The following is a 22079-nucleotide window of genomic DNA, read 5'->3' as shown; positions in this document are numbered from 1 at the left end:
TCTGGCCTCGGCAACTAGTGGCAGGAAGGTTCAAAGCCAGTGGTGTGCTGAGAGCCAGTCATATGGCATCTGGGAGGCATTAAACAAATGATCATGGAATTAACCAACTCTGCGTTCAGTGATGTTAAGTTGGTAACCTGAAACTGGGAATATTTACACCATGGCAAATGCTATAAATCAAGGCTTTCCTCTCCTCTGCCATCCTACCTCCCCTGTGCCCCCAGCCCAGAGCTTCTTGTCAAACCTTCACCAGCATTCCCCTGATCAGGCCCCCACAGAGCTTGACCAAACCCTGCTTGACTCAGCGAACCCTCTTTTGTGTCTCCCACCATCTCCCCTCTTCCATCTTAGACATCAATTTCACGGCCGCCCTACCTACAGCCAAGAAGCCTATGGACAGGGTCATGTGTAGGTCCCTCAGGGGCTGAAAGCACACCCATCCTGAGTGTACTGTTCACAGTGCAGCTGATTCAACATGCAAACTGATCAAATAAACAAGACTGAATGTGATCTCCAGAGGCCACACCAGCCTTTGAAATATGAAGCCAAGGACACCGTTTGAGATCACTTCTAGTGGAAAATACTTTTGCTGGCTTCCTTTGAATGTGGAAATCATATCCTCCTTTAAAATACAATCTAGGGTAAGGGCTTTAAATATATTAATTTATTTAATCCTCACATTTACCTGATAGAAGTAAATACTATTATTAGCCCTGTTTTAGAGCTGAGGATGCTAAAACACAGGGAAGTTAGAGAACTGGTCCAAGATCACAGAGCAATTGAGTAGTAGAGCCAGGATTTGAAATGGGTGTCCATGCTCTTAAATGCTAGGTTACAATACCACTCAAAGAAAATAGTAAGCACAGCCAGGTGCAGTGGCATGCACCTATAGTCCCAGCTACTTGGGAGGCTGAGATTGGTAGATTCCTTGAGCCTAGGAGTTTGAGACCAGCATGGGCAACATAGCGAGACCCTGTCTCAAAAAAATAACAATAATAACAACTAGGTTGTAGATCCCCTTCCCTGAGCTTTATATGTAATAATGCACTGACTTCTCACAATAACCTTATAAAATGGGCCCCATTTTACAGATGAGGAACTGAGACTCAGAGAAGGGGAGTAAAGTGCCCAAGGACACACAGCAAGTATATGGCAGAACTGGAAACCAAGTTCCTGCAGCTGGCTCCAGAGCTGGAGCCCCAAATCACACACTGGGAGTTCAGCCTGTGTGCACCCCTTCCTCGGGCTTGCAGGATGAACAGCTGCCTTCTGGATGGTCTGCATGGGAAGCATATTCAGATTGTGATTTATAAAACACAATGAAGATAATAGAAACCAGCCCTGACACTTACACAGGGCTTTGTGTTTCCAGATACCTTTTTTTATCCCAGTCATTGCTGTGTCTTCCTGGCTCCCTCGTGAAGGGGTGAACAGGTATCGCCTCTCTAGTTTCCCAGGAAATCCAGGGCCACACTGTAAGCCAGGCACAGCTGGCCAGAGGAATCAGCTGGCCTCTGATTCCAGATCACGGCACACTCTCTCTCCTTACTTTTTTAACATGTTATTTTTTCCTGATTGCCATAATAATATATATTCAATGTAAAATGTGGAAATACAGTGGAAAAATAGAAAAGAGGCCAAAAAACAAAAACAAAAGTCCCCTGAGATGCTACCACTGCAAAAATAACCCACAGGAACATCTTAGTGTATCCTGTTTGTCTGTTTTCATGCCCAGAGCCACGTCTGGTACACCAGATTACACAAAGTCTGGCTGGAAGGGAGTGGCCTTGTCCATTCCTCAGCAGGGCAGGAGTCCCCTTGCAGCTTCCAGCTAGACATAGCTGTCTGCTTCTCCTGAGATATGTGAGGCCTGCCTGCTCCCCACGCTCCCTGGGACCCCACATCACTCAATGTTTCCTGGCCTGGTCAGGAGATAGAGATGTTTGTGACATATATAAAATCACAAGAGTAACCCTCCTCCCAAAACTTATTTCAGCTAACAAAAAGTAAGCACTTTCAGAGCCCGACCCTTCAAGGAGCTGCTGCTGCAGAAGGTGAGACTTTCATGTCTTTCCCAGAATGTTTTTTGATGTTTTGTTTTTTGCCTCTGTACTTGTTGCCTGTAATGTTCCCATGAGAACTCCTTGCGTGTGTATTTCAGCATGAAAATGAAACCCCACTATCCCCAGGAAAGGCAGGACACTCAGCATGGTAGAATAGACAGAATAGGCAGGGTAGAACAGACAGAATATAGCTTAACTCACTTCTTAATGGCTGTGCAACTCCGAGCTCATTATTTAACCTCTCTGATACTTAGCTTTCTCACCTATAATCTGCCTCCCTTGCAGGGTTATTATGGTAAACTAAGGGCCTGGCATATACTATTGGTTCTCTTCCAGCCCCTAAAATGAATAAACTCGCTGATTAAATGACATTTGATTCAGGCTGGGATGCATGGGAGGAGATCCAGGGACTATTTGAATCTGGAACTGTTTTGGGCAGAAGGAAGGGGGCCAAGAATTTGGGAAAGGAGCAGGATGGGGAGAGGGTGGACATGTGCAAAAGAAGAGACCACAGAGCTGTGAAACTTTGGCCCTGGGAGAGAGGCCCTTAAAGACCATCTCATCTGCCCCATTATCTTACAGCCGGGAACACTGAGGCCCAGAGATGGAAAGGAATGCCTGAGCTCCCCCAGCCAGGTTGGAGAACCAACTCTCAGGGGTTTTCAGAATCTGCAAAGCAGATTCTCAGAGCCAGAGTCAAGGAAGGGAAAGAGGTCAGAAGACCCATCACTCTCCAGGTGCTGGAAGCAATTGCTCCAACAGCTGCCCTGGAGAGAAAGCTCTGCACTGACTTAGCACCTCCCTCTTCCCAGCACCTGTGCCCACTCCCCAAGCCACTGGGTTCAGTCTCTCCCTGTGTCCCCTGGGAAGTCTCACCCCCACCCCACACCCCGAGTATGGCTATAACCTACCGGAGCCAGAATGACTTGCTTGAGAATGTCCACCACAAGCCTGGGAGGAGAGCGGCAGCGCCAGGTGCCTCTTCCTCAGGGAAGTGCAGACAGAGTGTAATTCCTTTCCATGCGCTCATCCCCTCTCTGGACAGCAGCCTATGTATATCCTGCTTTCAACTGGAATAAAAAAAATCCCTTTGCCCTTGCCCCAGCCCTCATCTCAGCTGCATAGCCATGAGCTATTTCTCTCATTGATAAGAGTCAAGCTCAGATGACTCCCACCCCATAAAAGAGCATCCCCCAAAGATAGTGTTTGGAAAGCATGTATCCCCTCTCTGGAATGATTCCCTAGTAGCTGGGTCAAGTACACTAACAGCCCATCCCAGAGGTCCAGGCCTTTGTTTACCCTGTGTCTACCTGAAGGGCCTTCCCAACATCACCTTCAGCTTCTTCATCCTGGATACCTTCTCAGCAAGATCTCAGTCCCATTCTGCCCCAATTCTAAACTCCACCCAATCTCTTTTTCTGGCCATAACTCCCACTGAGCAGGGCTGTGTCTGCTACACCCACTGTGTCACCAATAGTTTCATCTCCCAGACTTTCCAAATCATCTTCCCTCTTTCTTTCCCTTCTCCCCGACTCCCCTTCATGGCATCTCTGTATGATTAGCTGCCTATTTAACTATCTGTTCCCCTGCTGGGTCAGGAGCTCTCAGGGGAAGGACCATATCTGACCCACCACCCAGAGCCCAGGGACAGGCAAGAGCAGAGACTGAATGAATGAATGACTGTGGATATATGATGCATTACCTGACATATGCTTAGCAGTATGAGGGTCTGCCTTCCCAGGACAGCACCTGTGGTCCAGGATCAGTACCTCAGCCACCCTCACCTCCAGTCCCACTGCCCCCTTGACACACAGCAAGTGCTTGGTGAATGCCTGTTGTCTCCACCTGGACTGAGCAATAATAGAGTAGTAATGTCAGGTGGTTAAAGGCATGGCATTGGAGTCACACACAGCTGGGCTTGGACCTGGCTCTGCATTTACTGGCTGTGTGACCTAGAGATGGTGGCTTCACCTCTCTGGGCCTCGGTTTTTGCAAGTTTATTGGGGGTACAGATAGTCCCTCAGACAGGCGTCAGAGAACGGAATGTCCCAAGAAGATGGATATGGACTTAGACATTTGCCTTTCTCTGGGGTCCACAGGCTACCAAGAATGGACATTAAGACTATGATGGGTTTTTACTCAGGCAGAAGGAAGCAGGGGACCTTTCAAGTGAGGCCTCCAAGTTTCTCTAGGCCAAACACTAGTTTCCAATAGAGAGACCCAAGGAGCTGCCCAACAAGAGCCACAGGGTCCTCGGTCCCTCCCACAGAACAGCTAAGTTCTAGGACCTGGGCTCCTTTTTTATTCTCCCTCACCTCCCCCCTTTTGTACATCCTTATTTTAAAATAATTTTTAGACTTGCAAAATAAAGCACGAGATTCCTGGATACCTGTCTGCCAGCTTCCCCTAATATTAACATCAGTTAAATTGCATTTAGCCTAAGGCTAAACATATATTTTTATATACTTTTAATATATAAGACATGTATTTTATACATTTAATATATAAAACTTACATATTTTAAATTTGGCGTAAAGATTTCTCCACACATAATGAACTGTAACCAAACTGAATGTATAAACAGGCTATAACCTATTCTTGTGCCAATTACAGAGTTTCAGCCAATCGCATGTGGCCAACCATTCAAATGGTGTTCAAATAAGGCAAACGCCAAGCTGTAACCAATCCAGCTGTTTGTCCCTCACTTCCATTTTCTGTCCATCACTTTCCTTTTCTGTCCATAAGTCTTCTTCCACATGCAGCAGCACCCAAGTTTCTCTGAACCTAATCTAGTTTGATTCTCAAATTGTTCTTTGCTCAATTAAACTCCATTTACTTTGCCTAAGGTTTTGCTTTTTTTTTTTGACAGAGTCTCACTCTGTTGCCCAGGCTGGAGTGCAATGGTGTGAGCTCGGCCTCGGCTCACTGCAACCTGTGCCTCCCAGGTTCAATAAACTCTCCTACCTCGGCCCGGTGGCTGGGATTACAGGTGCCCACCACCATGCCCGGCTAATCTTTGTATTTTTAATAGAGGCAAGGTTTCACCATGTTGGTCAAGCTGGTCTCCCACTCCAGAGCTCAAGTGATCCACCTGCCTCAGCCTCCCAACGTGCTGGGATTCTAGCCACGAGCCACAGCAGCCGGCCTCTAAGGTTTTACTTTTAACACATCTACATAATCACAGTACTGACTAAGAATCTAAACAAGGAAATTAACATTGACATGATACTATTGAGTAATCTACACACCTTATTCAAATTTCAACAGTTGTCCCACTAATGTCCTTTCTCTGGCCCAGGATCTAAACCAGAATGCGCTTGGTTCTTATGTCTCCTTTGTCTCTTCATTCTGGGGCAGTTCCTCAGTCTTGCTTTGTCTTTCATGACCTTGACAGTTTTGAAGAGTACTGGCCAGTTCATTTGTAGAATGTCCCTAAATTTCAGTGTGGTGTTTCTTCAGGATTAGACTGAGGTTGTGTATTTTGGGCAGGAACAACACAGAAGTGATCTTATGTCCTCAGTATACGTATCAGAGGTACATAATTTAAAGATGTCTCTTTCCTGGCAATGTTAACTTTGATCACTTGAAAAATGTGGTATCTAACAAGTTCTTCCACTGTGAAATTACTATTTACCTTTTGTAATTAGTAAGTATCTTGCTACTTTGAGACTACACAAATATCCTATTTCTCATCATGCTTTTGTCCACTAATTTTTGCATCCATTTATACTTTCCAACAGTAATTATTACTGTGGTTTTTTCCAAATGGTGATATTCTATTTCCATCATATATTAATTAGAATTCTTTCTACATGTATTAATTAGAATTCTATTATAAGAAAGAGCTGGGCCTGGCACAGTGTCTCTTGCCTGTAATCCCAGCAGTTTGGGAGGCCAAGGCAGGTAGATGGCTTGAGTCTCAGAGTTCGAGACTAGCCTGGGCAACATGGCGAAACCTCATCTCTGCAAAAAACACAAAAATTAGCCAGGTGTGGTGGCATGCATCTGTAGTCTTAGCTACTTGGGAGGCTGAGTTGAGAGGATTGTTTGAGCCCGGGAAGTGGAGGCTGCAGTGAGACAAGATTGTGCCGTGCACTCCAGCATGGGCAACAGAGGGAGACCCCATCTCAAAAAAAAAAAAAAAAAAAAAAATTTTTTTTTTTTAAAAGAGTTAGCCTTTCTTCTTAAGTATTTATATTAGTATGAACTCATGGGTATTTATTTTATCCTGTTACTCTCATTATTTATCTTGCTGTTCAAATTGTCTCATCCTCTTTTAAAATATTTCAACCCATCTGTTTCCTGTTAAGCTGCTTTTCCTAATGAGATGTGGCCCACGGCTAAGTCACTCCCTCAGTGTCACCCCCCAGCCATAGCACGTCAGACACTCCCTGGTATGCAGGGCAGGTGGTTGGGAGACCTCTGAGCCTTTGTGTGAGCAACTAGGTTTCCCGTTTCCCTGAAACTCACTGAGGCATCTTCCCAACAAGGGCTGGGCTTTTTCCTGGAATGGGCAGGTTGCAGTCGGAGGAGTCAGTCCTAATTCCACAGGCAAAGAGTTCCAGGAAGGGCTGAGCCTGGCCAGGTAGCCCCAGATCCCCCACCCCCACCCCTGCTCTCCATCAGGCATCCTCCCTCCAGCACCACCAAGCTCATGCTCTGATTGCCCCTTCTTGAGTCTGGCAGCTCTTGACAGCCTGGTTTTTGATGGGAGAGCCCTGGGTTGGCCCTGCCTCATCCTCTGTCTCACTGTTTCTTTTTCTTTTATTTCTCTGTCTTCCTTGGGCAAAATTCACCCCATTCTGGCTTAACTCATGAGAGAGTCAGTCCAGTCCTTCTCTAGGGCCTTAAAACTTTGAATTCCTAGGCTACAAACTTGCCCTCCAATTTAGAAGCCTGGTTAGAGCCCACATTTACTCACTTTTATTTGCTGTTATGCCAGAACCTCAGATCTTCCTAACATGCTCCATTGACGGCACAAAAGGAAGGAAATGATGCTCCTCTCACCTCTTCCACTTCCTCTTTCTGTGCTGTCCCCAGCCTGGCCCCCGCTGGCCACTCAGACTGTGTTATCTCCTCTTTTGTACATCTGCCCAAGGCACCCTTCAGCTAAGGGGTTATGTATAATCCTTTCCCCAACTGCCAGTCCCTTGCCTTGCTACAAATGCATTTGTTTGAAATCAATATATGTATTCATTTATCAAAATATCTTCACTTACATATTTACTACATGTTAGAATTACAGAGTGGTTCTCCAGACATCTGCTTTGTGGGTTAGGCCAGGCTGAAGTTATCACATCCATTTTGCAGACAGGGTTGCCAGGATTCAGAAACCCCGTCACTTGCCCAGAAACACAGTTGATAGCAGCCACATGGACTTTCTGACTCCTACTCCGGTGCTCTTTTGCTCATTGTCTTTGTGAATATTCTGTGTAATTATTTGCTCCTTTTTGCTCCCCAGCCCCTCCACCTCAGATCTGGTTAGTGATTCCAGGACAGAATTATTGCTTGCTCATCTGAACATCCCCCACTGCATAGCCCAGCCAGCACTGGACACACAGTAGACACTCAGTAAATGTTTGTTGGGAGAATGCAGGCTTTGATGTAGAAAGCCTTCCTAGAATTACTTGCTCTTACCTAACAGTGGTCTTACCGCTTCTTATACAAAGACTCCACCACCTGAGGCTTTCTGGGACTCAGTTTCCCTGTCTGTAAAGTGACTATAGAGCAAGCTTATCCAACCAACAGGCCGCATGCAGCCCAGGACAGCTTTGAATGCAGCCCAACACAAATTCTTAAAATTTCTCATAACATTATTAGTTCAGCCCAAAGCCAGGGACAAAAATAGCAGCAGCTGGATGCACCCTCGGGTTCCAGGCAAAGAAGATCACATACTGTAAGGCTAGGAAGTTGGTGTTTGCAGGTGACCCTGGAAGTGGGTAAGTGTCATGGACAGGATGAGCTGTCAGCTTTCTGGAGCCAGTTTCATTTCTTGGGAACTATTTTCTTTTAAATATTTTCAAGGTCTCTGGAAACTGAGAAAGCTGACAGCTAATCAACAGTTGAGAACTGGGGACCTTGCCTGACCACCCCTTCACTTTATCACCCCATCTGTCCATCCAGGAAGCCCTTCCTGAGGGCCTGTCCTGGGTTTCATTCCAGACAGGGCACTAGGGGCCGAACAATAATGCTGATGCTTACATGGCACTTGGGCTGGACAGGACACTGTTTCAAGTGCATTACATGTATTAATTTGTCTAATCCTCCCACGAACCCGATGTTATAATGAGGAAAATCAGGCACAGAGAGTTAGGTAACTTTTCCAAATTGCAGCACTGGGATTTGGACCAGACTACCTCCACCCCCACCCTCAGCCTCCACCCAGTTAGTTTACAGGATTTTCCCTTCTGAATCAGATATTTTCCCCTCTCCCCAGATACATTTTGTAGTTTTATGATGTTGTTTTTCTCTTTTCTTTTGTTTTCTTTTTTTCTTTTTTCTTTTTTTTTTTTTTTTTGAGACGGAGTCTTGCTCTGTCGCCCAGGCTGGAGTGCAGTGGCACGATCTCAGTTCACTGCAGCCTCCGCCTTCCAGGTTCAAGTGATTCTCGTGCCTCAGCCTCCCAAGTAGCTGGGATGACAGGCATGCGCCACCATGCCTGACCAATTTCTTTTTATGGTTAAGGGTGGGGCCAGGGTTTCCCTAGGGGTTAAGGCACTATTACGTTTTTTAAAATGTCAGTCGGAGGCTGAGGTGGGTGGATCACCTGAGGTCAGGAGTTCAAGACCAGCTTGGCTAACACAGTGAAACCCCGTCTCCACCAAAAATACAAAAAAATTAGCCAGATATGGTCCCATGCACCTGTAGTTCCAGCTGTTCAGGAGGCTGAGGCACAAGAATTGCCTGAGCCCAGGAGGTGGAGGTTACAGTGAGCCGAGATCATGCCACTGCACCAACCTAGGTGACAGAATGAGACTCTGTCTCAATCAATCAATCAATCAAGTGTTAATTGGTGTTTTCCCACCATTCACTTTTCTTCTGCTCAAACAGTGAGACTCAGGAAGGGTCTTTGAATTTTTTCTTGGTCTTTGAGTACAGGAGTTTGAGAAAATTAAGGTTCTCTTTCTATTCTATACCAAACTAAAAAAGCATTCCCCAGGCTGAGAAGGTAAGAGGCAGCAGGGAAGCAGGTCAGTCTAAACATTAGAGGGACACCGTGCCCTGTCTTATGGCCACGGTCCTGGTGTTTGCGGGACTTAGGGGGCACAGGGACATGGCACATGGGGAGTCCAAGGTGAACAGGGCCACAGGTAGCCCCATCCCATGCCCTAGCCTGAAGCAATCAAATGAAGTCTTCAATGGGCTGCCAGGCCTGAAGGTGCTAGTGGACTACCCTGAGTGTGGACACATAGGCTGATGTCCAACAGGGAGGCAGGATGCTGATGTCTAAGTGGAGGCCCGTGTGGACAGGTGCCACCAAGAACCAGGTGGCACCATGCTCCCCTGCACCTGGGCAGTAACCAGTTTCCTGGAACTGATGTAATTCTGGGCGAGTGGTGACCCTCACAGTGACTGCAATTAAGTTTCCATATCCTGTAGAATGGGGGTCTCAAAATAGAAAATAGCTTCTTCTAGAAAACTACAATCATATTTTCTCATCTACATGAGTGTGTGGCCAGAGGTGCTCACTGAAGGCACCTTTGGAATCCCCTGGCAGAGCTCCTGTAGCAGGCACCATTGGTGGCCCTCGTCTACCAGAGCTCCCACCTGCTGGGCACACACTGGCTGACTTCCAGCTGTGAGTACCCACACTGCTCTGTCTGTGGCCTTGCTCTGGCTAACAAAGCCTGTCTTGCCCCTGCCCACCAGTGCAGCATGCCAGAAATTCCAGGACATAATGTTCCCTGCCCCCCACCAAGAACCCTCAACCAATGACTGAGGTCAGTTGGTGCCTAAATACCCCACCTCCCTTGCCCTTGGGTGGAATAACTCCAAGGTGTGTGCACTGCACTGTCTCCCCGAGTTTCTCCTGGGGGATTAAGTCCAACCACCCACAGGGGAAGCTGGTTTGCTAACACACTCTTCACTGGCTGCCTTCCTTCCTCTGCCTCACCTCCCCACTCTCCTGCCCATGTCTCCAACTTCCAGATAAACTGTTAGTGGGACCATATGACATTGCCAATATTTGAGATTTTTGACCTATAAAAATGGCAATTTCATATAGTTCAACCTAAAATTTACACTCAAATCTTTGTCTCAGAGTCTGCTCCAGGGCTATTTCCCCTCCAATGCTTATCTACCTGCTTTATCCAAAGGCTGTCCGCTAGGTCTCCTCCTGTCCCACAGCACAGCGGGTTCCCGGAGAGGTAGAGGTGGGACAACAGGGAGGCGGCTCCAGGAATGAGCACGTGCCCCACCCACATCACATATCAGAGTGGGAAGTGTGGCTACAAAATGAGGAAGTCATGAAAGATATGGAAATGTTGTAACTGGAAAAGTGATGGAATGTTTGGAAGCAGAAGCTCTGGGTGTGGGCTTGGAATCTGGAAAAGGGAACATGGGTTCATGGCCTGTTTGGCCTGATCCCAGTCCTCTCTCCTAAAGAACTCAATTCCCTCTAAATGGAGAGTTCTGGGCATATAAATAGGCTCAGGAACACTTTGGCTAAATCAGAACACCAGGCATAAACATAGCACTTTGCCATCTCAGTTAGCCACCCAGCAAAATTAACCTGTTTCTGTGGCTCACAGAGTATGGAGACCACCCTGCTAGACAGCAGGGGAGGAGGAGAATTTGGATGAGAATCCAGGCCTGTTTCCATCTAAGCAGTTATTTTTGTCTGTATCCCACAATAGGAAATGCATTTTACCAGGCAGTCTATTGTACACATACACACACCTGAAAAAAAAAGTTTCACAAAATAATATTACCCAACTACCAATGAAAAGGATAGTTTCTATTCCTTTCTGTTTCATAGTTTTTAAAAGCTGAACATGAGCTGGGTATGGTGGCTCATGCCTGCAATCCCAGCACTTTGGGAGGCTGGGGGGGCAGATCACTTGAGGTCAGGAGTTCGAGACCAGCTTGGCCAACATGGTGAAATCCCGTCTCTACTAAAAATACAAAAATTAGCTGGGCATGGTGGTGGGCACCTGTAATCCCAGCTACTCTCGGGAGGCAGGAGAATCGCTTGAGCCTGGGAGGCAGAGGTTGCAGTGAGCCGTGATTGTGCCACTGCACTCCAGCCTGGACAACAGAGAGAGAGAGACTCCATCTCAAAAAATAATGAATAATAAATAAATAAATAAATAAATAAATAAATAAATAAATAGCTAGACATGACTCATTAACTGATTTCTTTCTTTTTTTTTTTTTTTTTTGGAGACAGAGTCTTACTCTGTCACCCAGGCTGGAGGGCAATGGTGCAATCTTGGGGCTCACTGCAACCTCCACTTCCCAGGTTTGAGCAATTCTCATGCCTCAGCCTCCCGAGTAGCTGGGATTACAGGTGTCCACCACCACACCTGGCTAATTTTTGTATTTTTAGTAGAGATGGAGTCTCACCATGTTGGCCAAGCTGGTCTCAAACTCCTGATCTCAAATGATCCACCTGCCTCGACCTCCAAAAGTGTTGGGATTACAGGTGTGAGCCACCATGTAATTAACTGATTTCATAACCTGCTTCTGGGTGGTGACCTTCAATTTCAAATATTGCCCTTGAGTGTATTCAGAAATGAATTGGGTGTGGACAGAATTTCTGGGCTTTTCCCAAACACTGTGCATTTGCTGTCAGCCTCTGTCCCATTCAGGGATTCAGGAATTGCTGGACTGAGCCAGAGGAACTTTGAAAAATTCATAAGGTGAAGAGGGTTCCTATCTCCTAATCCAGTGATTAAAATGAGGCATTGCTGTCACCTTCATATTTTTTGCCACATCCCTCTACCACCTATACTATGTATTATTGTATAAATATATCTTCTATAAATCAACTCACCACTCTTTAAAACTTAAATACTCACTCTAGTCCTGTTTTATGGAATATTATCAGTAAAATCACACATTTGATGTTATTTCCCAAGGCAAACAAATAAAAACATAACTAGAAAAATAAAACATGTTTGTCCATTCCACCTTAACTCATCAAACCCATGACTTTCTCTGCCCAGTTCCTTTCACAAGAAAACCATCCTGTCTCTGCACAGTTTGTGCTGTTTCTAATGCCCAGAAAGGCCTCAACCTCTGTCTACCTCTCCAATGACAATCAGTGCCATCACTGTGGCCGACAACACCTAAACTCATCTAATCTTCACACCAACCAACCCTATGAAGCGGTAGGGTCATTTCCATTTTACAAATGAGGAACTGAGGCACAGAGAGATCAGGAAGACTTGCCCAAAATCCCAATGCTAGGGAGTGATGGAGCCAGGTTTTGAATCCAGGCTGATGAGAGAGCCTGTGTGCCTAACTACTAGGTGTTCCTGGCCCCTTCTAAAGCTGCCCATCCCAGTCTCAACCCTAGTATCATCCCGTAGAGGACACGTTCCTGGACTACCCAGCCCATTGGATTACTCTTCGTATGTTCCCAAAGCACTCACTTCTTGCCTGTTTAATTCATCTGGAGGTAAATCATAACCTATAGAGACATTGCCTCTACTAGGCTGGGGACTTCTTGAAGGCAAGGCTGCATCTTATTCCTGTGTGTATTTCTGGGTCCAACAGCCCATCTGAGGCCTTTCGTGTCTGCTGAACACTGTGATCTTGCCTTGTTTAACAAACACTTAGCACTCTTTGCTAGTTGTCAGCTCACAGGCAGGTTTCCAGCAAAGCCCTGGGAATAGTCAGGGGCAAAGGGAGAGGAGTCAGAGGCAACAATTAAAGGAGTCTTAATCTAAGGTCCATGGATCCCCAAAGGACCCATACCTGGTATGCAAGAGATCTGAGCTTACATGAGAATAAGATTACATCCTTATTTTCACTAACCTCTAATGGAAATTCAGTATTTTCTTTCATTGGAATGTCACCCATGACTTTGTCACCAGTGAAATCCCTGATAGTTTCATTTCACATTACCATCAGAACAGACATCTAAAAATATTTACATTCATTACTTCCTGGAAATTCAGACCCACTGCTAGATCTTGTATTTAAGGCATTAATAAAGATACACATAAATAGCACACGCTATACTATAATTTTTTTAAAACTTGGTAACTATTTCAATGGGATTGACATTCTTAGAAACTTCAGTAGAATTGATAATCATATGTGTTTTATTTTATGCATTTTAAAACATGATTCTGAGAGGGGCCCCATAGGCTTCACCAGACTGCTGGGGGTAGGGGTGGGGGCCATGGCACAAAAAAGGTTAAGACACTTGGCCAGGCTCCTTGACTCACACCTGTAATCCCAGCACTTTGGGAGGCCGAGGTGGGCGGATTGCCTGAGGTCAGGAGTTCGAGACCAGTCTGGCCAACATGATGAAACCCTGTCTCTACTAAAAATACAAAAAAATTAGCCAGACGTGGTGGCATGCGCCTGTAATCCCAGCTACTCAGGAGGCTGAGGCAGGGGAATTGCTTGAACCAGAGAGGTGGAGGTTGCAATGAGCCGAGATTGCGCCATTGCACTCCAGCCTGGGCGACAGAGCGAGACTCCGTCTCAACAAAAAACAAAACAAAACAAAAAAAAGGTTAAGACACTCAACATAGAGTATCATAATTTAGAAATGGGTTTTGGACCCAGACGGACTGGAATTCAAACGTTAGTTTTGCCACTTACAAGTCAAGTTACCCAGGCCTCAGTTCCCTCATCTGAAAAATGGGCATTACTACCTACCTTATGAGATTAGCATTTAGCACCTGAGTAAAGGTGATTTCCTAACCCAGCTGGACTTCCTAGTGAGGCAAACAATGCGTGGGGATAGTGGAGCCCTCAGCTGGGATAGGGTCCACCTTTCTCTCTGCTTCCTATCCCTCCCACCAGAGAAGTCATTTGTCTCCCTCAGCCTGGCGAACCCAGCTCTCTGTAGCAGGACAGAAAGTCTGGCCTCAGACTCTTCTTGGATACTCTATTTCATTTCCTTTTTTTTTTTTTTTTTTTTTTTTTTGAGACGGAGTCTCGCTCTGTCGCCCAAGCTGGTGTGCATTGGCGCGATCTCAGCTCACTGCAAGCTCCGCCTCCCGGGTTCACGCCATTCTCCTGCCTCAGTCTCCCGAGTAGCTGGGACTACAGGCGCCAGCTACCACGCCCGGCTAATTTTTTTTGTATTTTTAGTAGAGACGAGGTTTCACCATGTTGGCCAGGATGGTCTCAATCTCTTGACCTCGTGATCCACCCGCCTCGGCTTCCCAAAGTGCTGGGATTACAGGCGTGAGCCACTGCGCCCGGCCTGCTCTATTTCATTTCTGAGCCCAGGATCTGCACCCACACCCAAAATTAGCTGCGACTATCAGAGACTCCCAAGACAGACCAGACATCTTGCTATTATATTTTAAGCCTTTACATGCACTTCTACATTTGTCCACTGGATGGGACTGGTTCACATTCTAAACACCGCAGCCCAACAGGGCAGAGTCAGAACTTCACTCAGAGAGCTGGAGCATCCGATCATCCTCTCCTGCCTCTCCCATCTCACTCAGATTTATTTTTATCTTTTCAAATACAGCCTGATGTACCAAAAAGTTCTCACTTTGTGCGCCTTTCCAGTAACCTACCACCCTAAGTATGGTAGCAACTCTCCTGACTTCTAACATTACAAGTTAGCTTCTAAAAATGCTAACCGGTCGTATAGAACATATTCTTTTGTGTTGGTTTCATTTGTTCAACATTATGTTTGCGAGATGACGTGCAGTTGCAGTTCATTCATTCTCATTGCTTCAAAGGCTCCATTGGGCAAATATGCAAAAAATGTATTTGTATCCTCATCTATTGCCTTGGCATTTGAGTAGTTTCCAATTTGGGGTTTGCTTTGCTGCTGCACTGTTGATGGGAGTTATCAGCCCTTCAAACCACCCAAGATTGATTCGGAGCTCCAGACTGATGATGCCACACACTCATCAGGAGGATTTGAAAAGAGTTACTACTCACGTAATGAGGCTTTCTGGGGACAGCAGGGCCCACACTCAAGCAAAAGAAGGGGCACGTGGCTCTGGTTTTTATAGTGGCTGGGCAGAGGGCAGGTGCGTCCAGGATGAAGGATCCCTCTCCCACAGGCTGGAGTTTGTGTGGTTTGAACTGCCCGTCTGCACCAAGGAAGGGAGCACCATGAGCTACCTGTAGGCATGTCCAGGTGTGGAGAAAATGAGAAAGGGGAGTGATGGGGCTTGAAAGCTGTCATAGTAAAACATCAAAAATTGAGTCAGACTCTTTATTCCAGAGTTATTACAAATGTGCTGCTATGAGCATTCTTATTCAAGTCTTTTCTGTTGGGTATGTTTCGAGGACGTTTGACTTTGGCAAATACTACCAAACAGTTTTTCAAAGTGTCTGCAGCAAATTACATTCCCTCTAGCAACATTTACAGATGCACCACAGTTTAATCCATTCTGTAGCTGAGGGACATTTGGTTTGTCTCCAGTTTTTTTGTAATCAACAAATAAATCTGCCACAAACATTCACGTGCAGATCTTTGTGTGAACATAGGTTTTCATTTCACTTGGGTAAATACTTAGGAATAGAGTGACTATGTTGAATGGTAAGCGTATACTTAACTGTGTAAGAAACCAGTCAAACTGTTTTTCCAAAAGTGACCATACCATTTTTGCATTTCCACCCACAAAATATGAGAGTTACAATTGTTTCACATTCTCCTAAGTTCTTGGTATGGTCAGTCTTTTTACTTTTAGCCATTATAATGAATGTGAAGTAGTATCTCATTGTGGTTTCAGTTTGCATTTCCTTATGAACTAATGACATTGAACGTATTTTCATATGCTTCCTTGACATCCCTATATCTTCTTCAATGAAAGTGTTTTTTCACATATTTTGCCCATTTTTTACAAAATTGGGCTGTGTGTTTTCTTACTATTGAGTTCAGAGGATTATTTCCATATCCTTTATAAAAAGTCTTTTATCAGATATATGATTTGCAAATATTTTCTCCTAGTCTGTGTCTTGTGTTTTATTCTCTTAGTGTCTTTTGAAGAGCACACATTCTTAATTTTGGTGAAGTCCAAGTAATTGACTTTTTCTTTTATGGATTATGCTTTTGGTGTCTTAACTAAGAAATCTTTGCTTACCCTAATGTCATAAAGATTTTTTTTCTCTTATGTTTTCTCCTAGAAATTTTATAATTTTAGGTTTTACTTTTAGGCCTATGATTGATGAGTCTGTATTAGCAAACCTTGGAAGGCTATTTGAAAGAGGTTTCTGATAATATAAATTTATGTATCTTCAGTGTCCAGTAAACACTGAAAATACATAAAGAGGGTCATATTTCTGTACATAAAGTCAAATGTTAAGGATTTCTGCTAATTCAGAATTTAACTTTCAAAATAAATGGCATGGAAGTCCAGGGAGATGGGGGCTGATTTCCTCTTTGTATACTCCCTTTTATAGATGTATTGCCTACAGCGTATATTTAATAGTGTGACAGTTAATTTTAGATGTCAACTTGACTGAGTTAAGGAATACCTAGAAACCTCATAAAGCATTATTGTGGGGTGTGTTTGTGAAGGTGTTTCCGGAGGTGATCAGCATGAGAGTATGAGTGGACTAATGTGGGCGGGCACCATCCAATCTGCCAGGGACCTGGAGATAACAAAAACAGAGAAAAGGTGATCTGCATCCATCTATCTGCTGGAGCTGGAATACACTCTTAGTCTCCTGTCAGAACTGCAGGCTCCCAGCTGGTCGCAGTGGCTCATGCCTCTAATCCCAACACTTTGGGAGGCTGAGAAGAGAGGACTTCTTAAGCCCAGGAGTTTGAGAACAGCCTGGGCAACACAGTGAGACCCCATCTCTAAATATATATATATTCAAAAATTAGTCAGGCATGGTGGCATGCACCTGTAGTCCCAGCTACTCCGGAGGTTGAGGTGGGAGGATCACTTGAGCCTGTGAGGGTGAAGCTGCAGTGAGCTGAGATTGCACCACTACACTCCAGCCTAGGCGACAGAGTGAAACCCAATCTTCCAAAAAAAAAAACTTCAGGCTCCCCAGCCCCTGGACTCCAGGACTTAATACCAGTGGCCCCCCTGCTTCTCAGGCCTTTGGCCTTAGACTGACAGTTACACCATCCGTTTCCCTGGTTCTCAGGCCTTCGGGGCTTGGATAGAGCCATGTTTCCAGCATCCTAGGGTCTTGCACATTATGTCCCAAGGGTGAAATAAACACAATCAGATAACTTTAAGGAAGATGCCAAATCCTGTGTTACACCAACCATTGAGTTGTCAGACAACCACTGCAAAAGACATTTGAAAGAGAAACACGGTGATCAGAGGTGGGGAAGAAGGACCTTCCTGGTAGGCACCAGTAAACTATGACAGTAAGCAAGATGATGACTTAAGAGTCCAGCAGTCAGTATTAGCCCAGCCCATTTCATACACTAGTCCTGAGGTTATTTATCTGGCATCTCCACACAGTCCTAGGAAACTTATCTGTAGTCTTCACTCAGTCCATCTTGAATGCCACACAGTAACTCCCTTTCCTTTCTTGGCTAAAACTGTCGCAGGGCTTTGGCAGACTCTGAATTGTATTCAAGTTCACCTTGTGCACTGCTGGTTGTGCACCTTGTGGCTTGTCACCCTCCTATCCTCAAGAATGGTCTAGAGCCCCACAGAGTCATGACAATGGTCAACAGAACGCCACAGGGCCCTTTCCATCTGAGTTGTTTCTCTGGATTTCTTTTAATAGACCCTGGTATACTGCTGGAATAGAGGTGCCGTATGGAGTCTAGGGTGGTCTGGGCTGCAAAGGAACACAGAACCTAAGTGAGGACTTGATAATAAGAAAGCAACAGACAAGTAAGAAACCTCTTGGGGTTGGAATGCCAGCTAGATAACCATGTTGATATGGCCTGAGTCCCAGGATCTGGTGGATTGTGGAATTGCAGCTCTAGGGTTCATCTTGATCCTTGGAAGAGATTCAGGGCACTTAAAGCCTTATTACAAAGTTTTATTTAGTTTTGCTGGTGCTACAGTTTTGCTTTTATCTCATCACAACTTTGGAGGTGGGAGAGAGGTGTGGTTTGTAATTTATATATATGTTTGGAAAATTGTTCCATAATACGTGAATTACTCTCAGTTTAGATATGAGATTTTTCTGGGGAGGAATGCATTCCTGGAGCAGTTCTTCTGACTGTAGTAATACCTGCCTTTCTCAGGGGTTGCCTCAGACTACCCAGAGAATAAGCATAACACAACTCAGACCTGGCAGACAGCTTCTAATGCACCAATCATCTCTTCTAGGGTGCTTCTATGATGCTCCTTCACCCAACTGTACCCCATAGTAAGATGCCCAGGCTCGGGTGGGCAGAAGGAGGAAGGAGGGACCTGGGAACCACGAGTCACCCATTTCAGTGGAGGTTGAATACGCAGAATCAGGAAGCACAGAAATCCACACCCATATCATAATGAAATTGCAGCACACCAAAGGCAAAGAGAAGATCTTTAATGCAGCCAAGGAAAAAGCACAGATTACAGAGAGCAGACGCTGAGACTGAGAGTAGACTTCGTAGTGGCCACAGTGGGAGCCGGAAGCCATGGGATACAGTGAGTGTGACTTGGGACTCTTCACCATCAAATTAGAATCAGGAGTTGAAATTGATGGTTGTTCAAGAATCTGCTCACGGTAAAGGGCATTTCCAGATGGGAAACAGAATTTATCACAACACGAAACTCAGGAGAGTGAGACTCAAGGAACTCACTGAAGAACGTACTTCCAGCAGAAGGAGAGTGGTCCTGGAGAAAGGGTGTGATTCTGAGATAGGCAGATGAACAGAGCAGTCAGTGAAGACGTGAGCAACGGAAAGCAACGTGGACTCTAAAGCTCTGTTAACTGGGTGACCCTGGTTATCTGGGTTGCGGGGAGAAAAATTAGAGCCCTCACCAACACCACACAGCAAATAAGCTCTGAATGTTTTAAAGCCTAGAAGATGCTATGGGAGAGCATCTTCATGGGCTCTGGAGATGAAAGGCCTTCTTTAACAAGGTCCTAAATGCCCAGTGAAGGAAAACATTAAGAAATTCAGGCCGATCGTGCTGGCTCATGCTTGTAATCCCAGCACTTTGGGAGACCGAGTTGGGTGGATCGCTTGAGCCTAGGAGTTCAAGACCAACAAGGCAAAACCCCATCTCTACCAAAAAAGTGCAAAAATTAGCCAAGGGTGGTGGTGCGTGCCTGCAGTTCCAGCTACTCGGGAAGCTGAGGCAGGAGGATCACTTCAACCTGGGAGGCAGAGGCTGCAGTGAGCCGAGATCGGGCCACTGGCACTCCAGCCTGGGTAGCAGAGTGAGAAACTGTCTCAAAAAATAATAATAAAAAAAAAATTTGCCCGGGCACAGTGGCTCATGCCTGTAATCCCAGCACTTTGGGAGGCCAAGGCAGGTGGATCACGAGGTCAAGAGATCGAGACCATCCTGGCCAACATGGTGAAACCCCATCTCTACTAAAAATACAAAAAATTAGCTGGGCATGGTGGTGCGCACCTGTAGTCCCAGCTACTCAGGAGGCTGAGGCAGAAGAATCACTTGAACCCGAGAGGTGGAGGTTGCAGTGAGCCGAGATCACACCATTGTACTGCAGCCTGGCGACAGAGTGAGACTCCATCTCAAAATAAGTAAATAAATAAATTAATTAATTAATTAAAAAATTAAAATAAAAAAAATTACCCAGACATAGTGGCTCGAGTCTATAGTCCTACATATTTGTGGGGCTGAGGTGGGTGGATCACTTGAGCCCAGGATGTCAAGGATGCAGTGAGGCATGATCGTGTGACTGTACTGTAGTCTAAGCAACAGAGTGAGACCCTGTCTTCCCTACCGAAAAAAAAGAAAACACACAACATTTATCCATTAGGTTCTCGTCTTATATGGACACCCAAAACAATTGCATAGTAACATCAAAGATCATTGATCACAGATCACCATAGCGGTATAATAATGATAATGTGGCTGGGCACAGTGGCTCACGCCTGTAATCCCGGTACTTTGGGAGGCCGAGGCAGGTGGATCACCTGAGGTCAGGAGTTCGAGACCAGCCTGACCAACATGGCAAAACCCCATCTCTACTAAAAATACAAAATTAGCCGGGCGTGGAGGCGCATGCCTGTAATCCCAGCTACTCGGGAGGCTGAGCTGAATTGCTTGAACCTAGAAGGTGGAGGTTATGGTGAGCCAAGATCGCACCACTGCACTCCAGCCTGGGCAACAAGAGCGAAACTCTGTCTCAAAAAAAATAAAAATAAAAATAATGAAAATGTTTGAAATATTGCATGAATTACCAAAATGTGACACAGAGACACAAAGTGAACACATCCTGTTGAAAAAATGGCTCTTGTAAGACTTGCTCAACACAGGGTTGAAAATCTGGGTTTCTAAAAAAACACACATAATCACTAATATGTTTATCTGTATCCAATAAAAGAAAATGGCCTTAAAATACAATATTAATATGATCAATAAAGCCACAGAAGTCTGGTTTTGTAATGCAGTTTTTTTTTTAAATGATCTCTCAAATCGTCATTCCCACTAAGTAGTATGTGTGGTCAAATCCTATTCTAGAACTGGGCAGTACAGTAGTCACTAGCCATATTTGGCCATGAAGCACCTGAAATGTGACTAGTCTGAACTGAGAAGTACAAGCATAAAGCACATGTCAGATTTCAAAGACAGTACAAATAACGGAATGTAAAATATCTCATTAATAATTAATAATTGTATAGTGTACACTGCTTGGGTGATGGGTGCACCAAAATCTCAGAAATCACCACTAAAGAACTTATGCATGTAATCAAACACTATCTGTTCCCCCAAAACCTATTGAAATAAAAAATACTTTAAAAAATAAAAAATAAAAATAAACAAAATATCTCATTGTTATGTTGATTACATCTTGAGATAATTTGTTTATATTTTGGGTTAAATAAATACATCATTCAAATTAATTTCACTTGTTTCTCTTTAGGGCTTTAATGTTGACTATTAGAAAATTTAAGGCTGGGCAACTTAGTGAGCCCTCATCTCTACAAAAAAATTTATAAATTAACCCAAGCACAGTAGCTCATGCCTGTAATCCCAGCACTTTGGGAGGCCAAGGCGGGCAGATCGCTTGAGCCCAGGAGTTCAAGACTAGCCTAGGCAATGTGGAGAAACCTCATCTCTACAAAAAACACAAAAATTAGCTGGGTGTGGTGGCACATGCCTGTAGTCCCAGCTACTCGGGAGGCTGAGGTGGGAGGATCACTTAAGCCCAGGAGGCAGAGGTTGTAGTGAGCTGAGATTGTGCCACTGTACTCCAGCCTGGGCAACAGAGTCAGACCCTATCTCAAAAAAATAAAAATAGAAAAATTAGCCAGGTGTGGTGGCATGTGCCTGTAGTCCCAGCTACTCAGGAGGCTAAGGTGGGAGAATCGCTTGAGCCTAGGAAGTTGAGGCTGCAGTGAGCCATGATCATGCCACTACACTCCAGCCTGGTCGACAGTGAGACTCTGTCTCAAAAAAAAAATTAAAATGACACATACGGATCATATGGTGGCTCACCTGTTTTTATTGGACAGCACTGGTCTAGAGTATTTCATTGCTGTGCGTTCCGTATGCGGTGATGGAGTGCCCTAATCTGATAGATGAACTGGTGCAGGTTTTTGCATTTTCTTAATTTGATAGCACTACATTTTCTTTTTCTTTTTCTTTCTTTTTTTTTTATTCTTTTTTTGAGACAGAGTATTGCTCTGTTGCCCAGTCACCCAGGCTGGAGTGCAGTGGCGCAATCTCAGCTCACTGCAACCTCTGCCTCCCCAGTTCAAGTGATTCTTATGCCTCAGCCTCCTGAGTAGCTGGGATTACAGGTGCCCACCACTAT

General features: G+C 45.1%; 1 protein-coding gene and 1 long non-coding RNA gene across 2 annotated transcripts in view, besides 2 other annotated features; one reads left to right on the top strand and one right to left on the bottom strand.

The window, feature by feature from the left end:
* Window positions 1–22079, bottom strand: part of ACKR2 (atypical chemokine receptor 2) — a 57842-nt gene that overhangs the window by 12858 nt on the left and 22905 nt on the right. The window lies entirely within an intron of this gene.
* Window positions 1982–20698, top strand: LOC124909373 (uncharacterized). The gene is made up of 2 exons (XR_007095895.1): window positions 1982–2054; window positions 18470–20698. It is a non-coding gene; the product is annotated as an uncharacterized LOC124909373 (long non-coding RNA).
* Window positions 17518–17812: an enhancer, noted in NCBI's record as "tiled region #4247; K562 Activating DNase matched - State 5:Enh". NCBI's record gives its function as "activates a minimal TATA promoter and a strong SV40 promoter by Sharpr-MPRA in K562 cells {active_cell/tissue: K562}" and the evidence as "EXISTENCE:reporter gene assay evidence [ECO:0000049][PMID:27701403]".
* Window positions 17518–17812: a silencer, noted in NCBI's record as "tiled region #4247; HepG2 Repressive non-DNase unmatched - State 23:Low". NCBI's record gives its function as "weakly represses a minimal TATA promoter and a strong SV40 promoter by Sharpr-MPRA in HepG2 cells {active_cell/tissue: HepG2}" and the evidence as "EXISTENCE:reporter gene assay evidence [ECO:0000049][PMID:27701403]".

Source organism: Homo sapiens, chromosome 3 (assembly GCF_000001405.40).
Source record: "Homo sapiens chromosome 3, GRCh38.p14 Primary Assembly".
NCBI lineage: Eukaryota > Metazoa > Chordata > Mammalia > Primates > Hominidae > Homo > Homo sapiens.
Note: the sequence above shows the minus strand (reverse complement) of the source record. Positions and strands in the feature narration are given on the sequence as shown.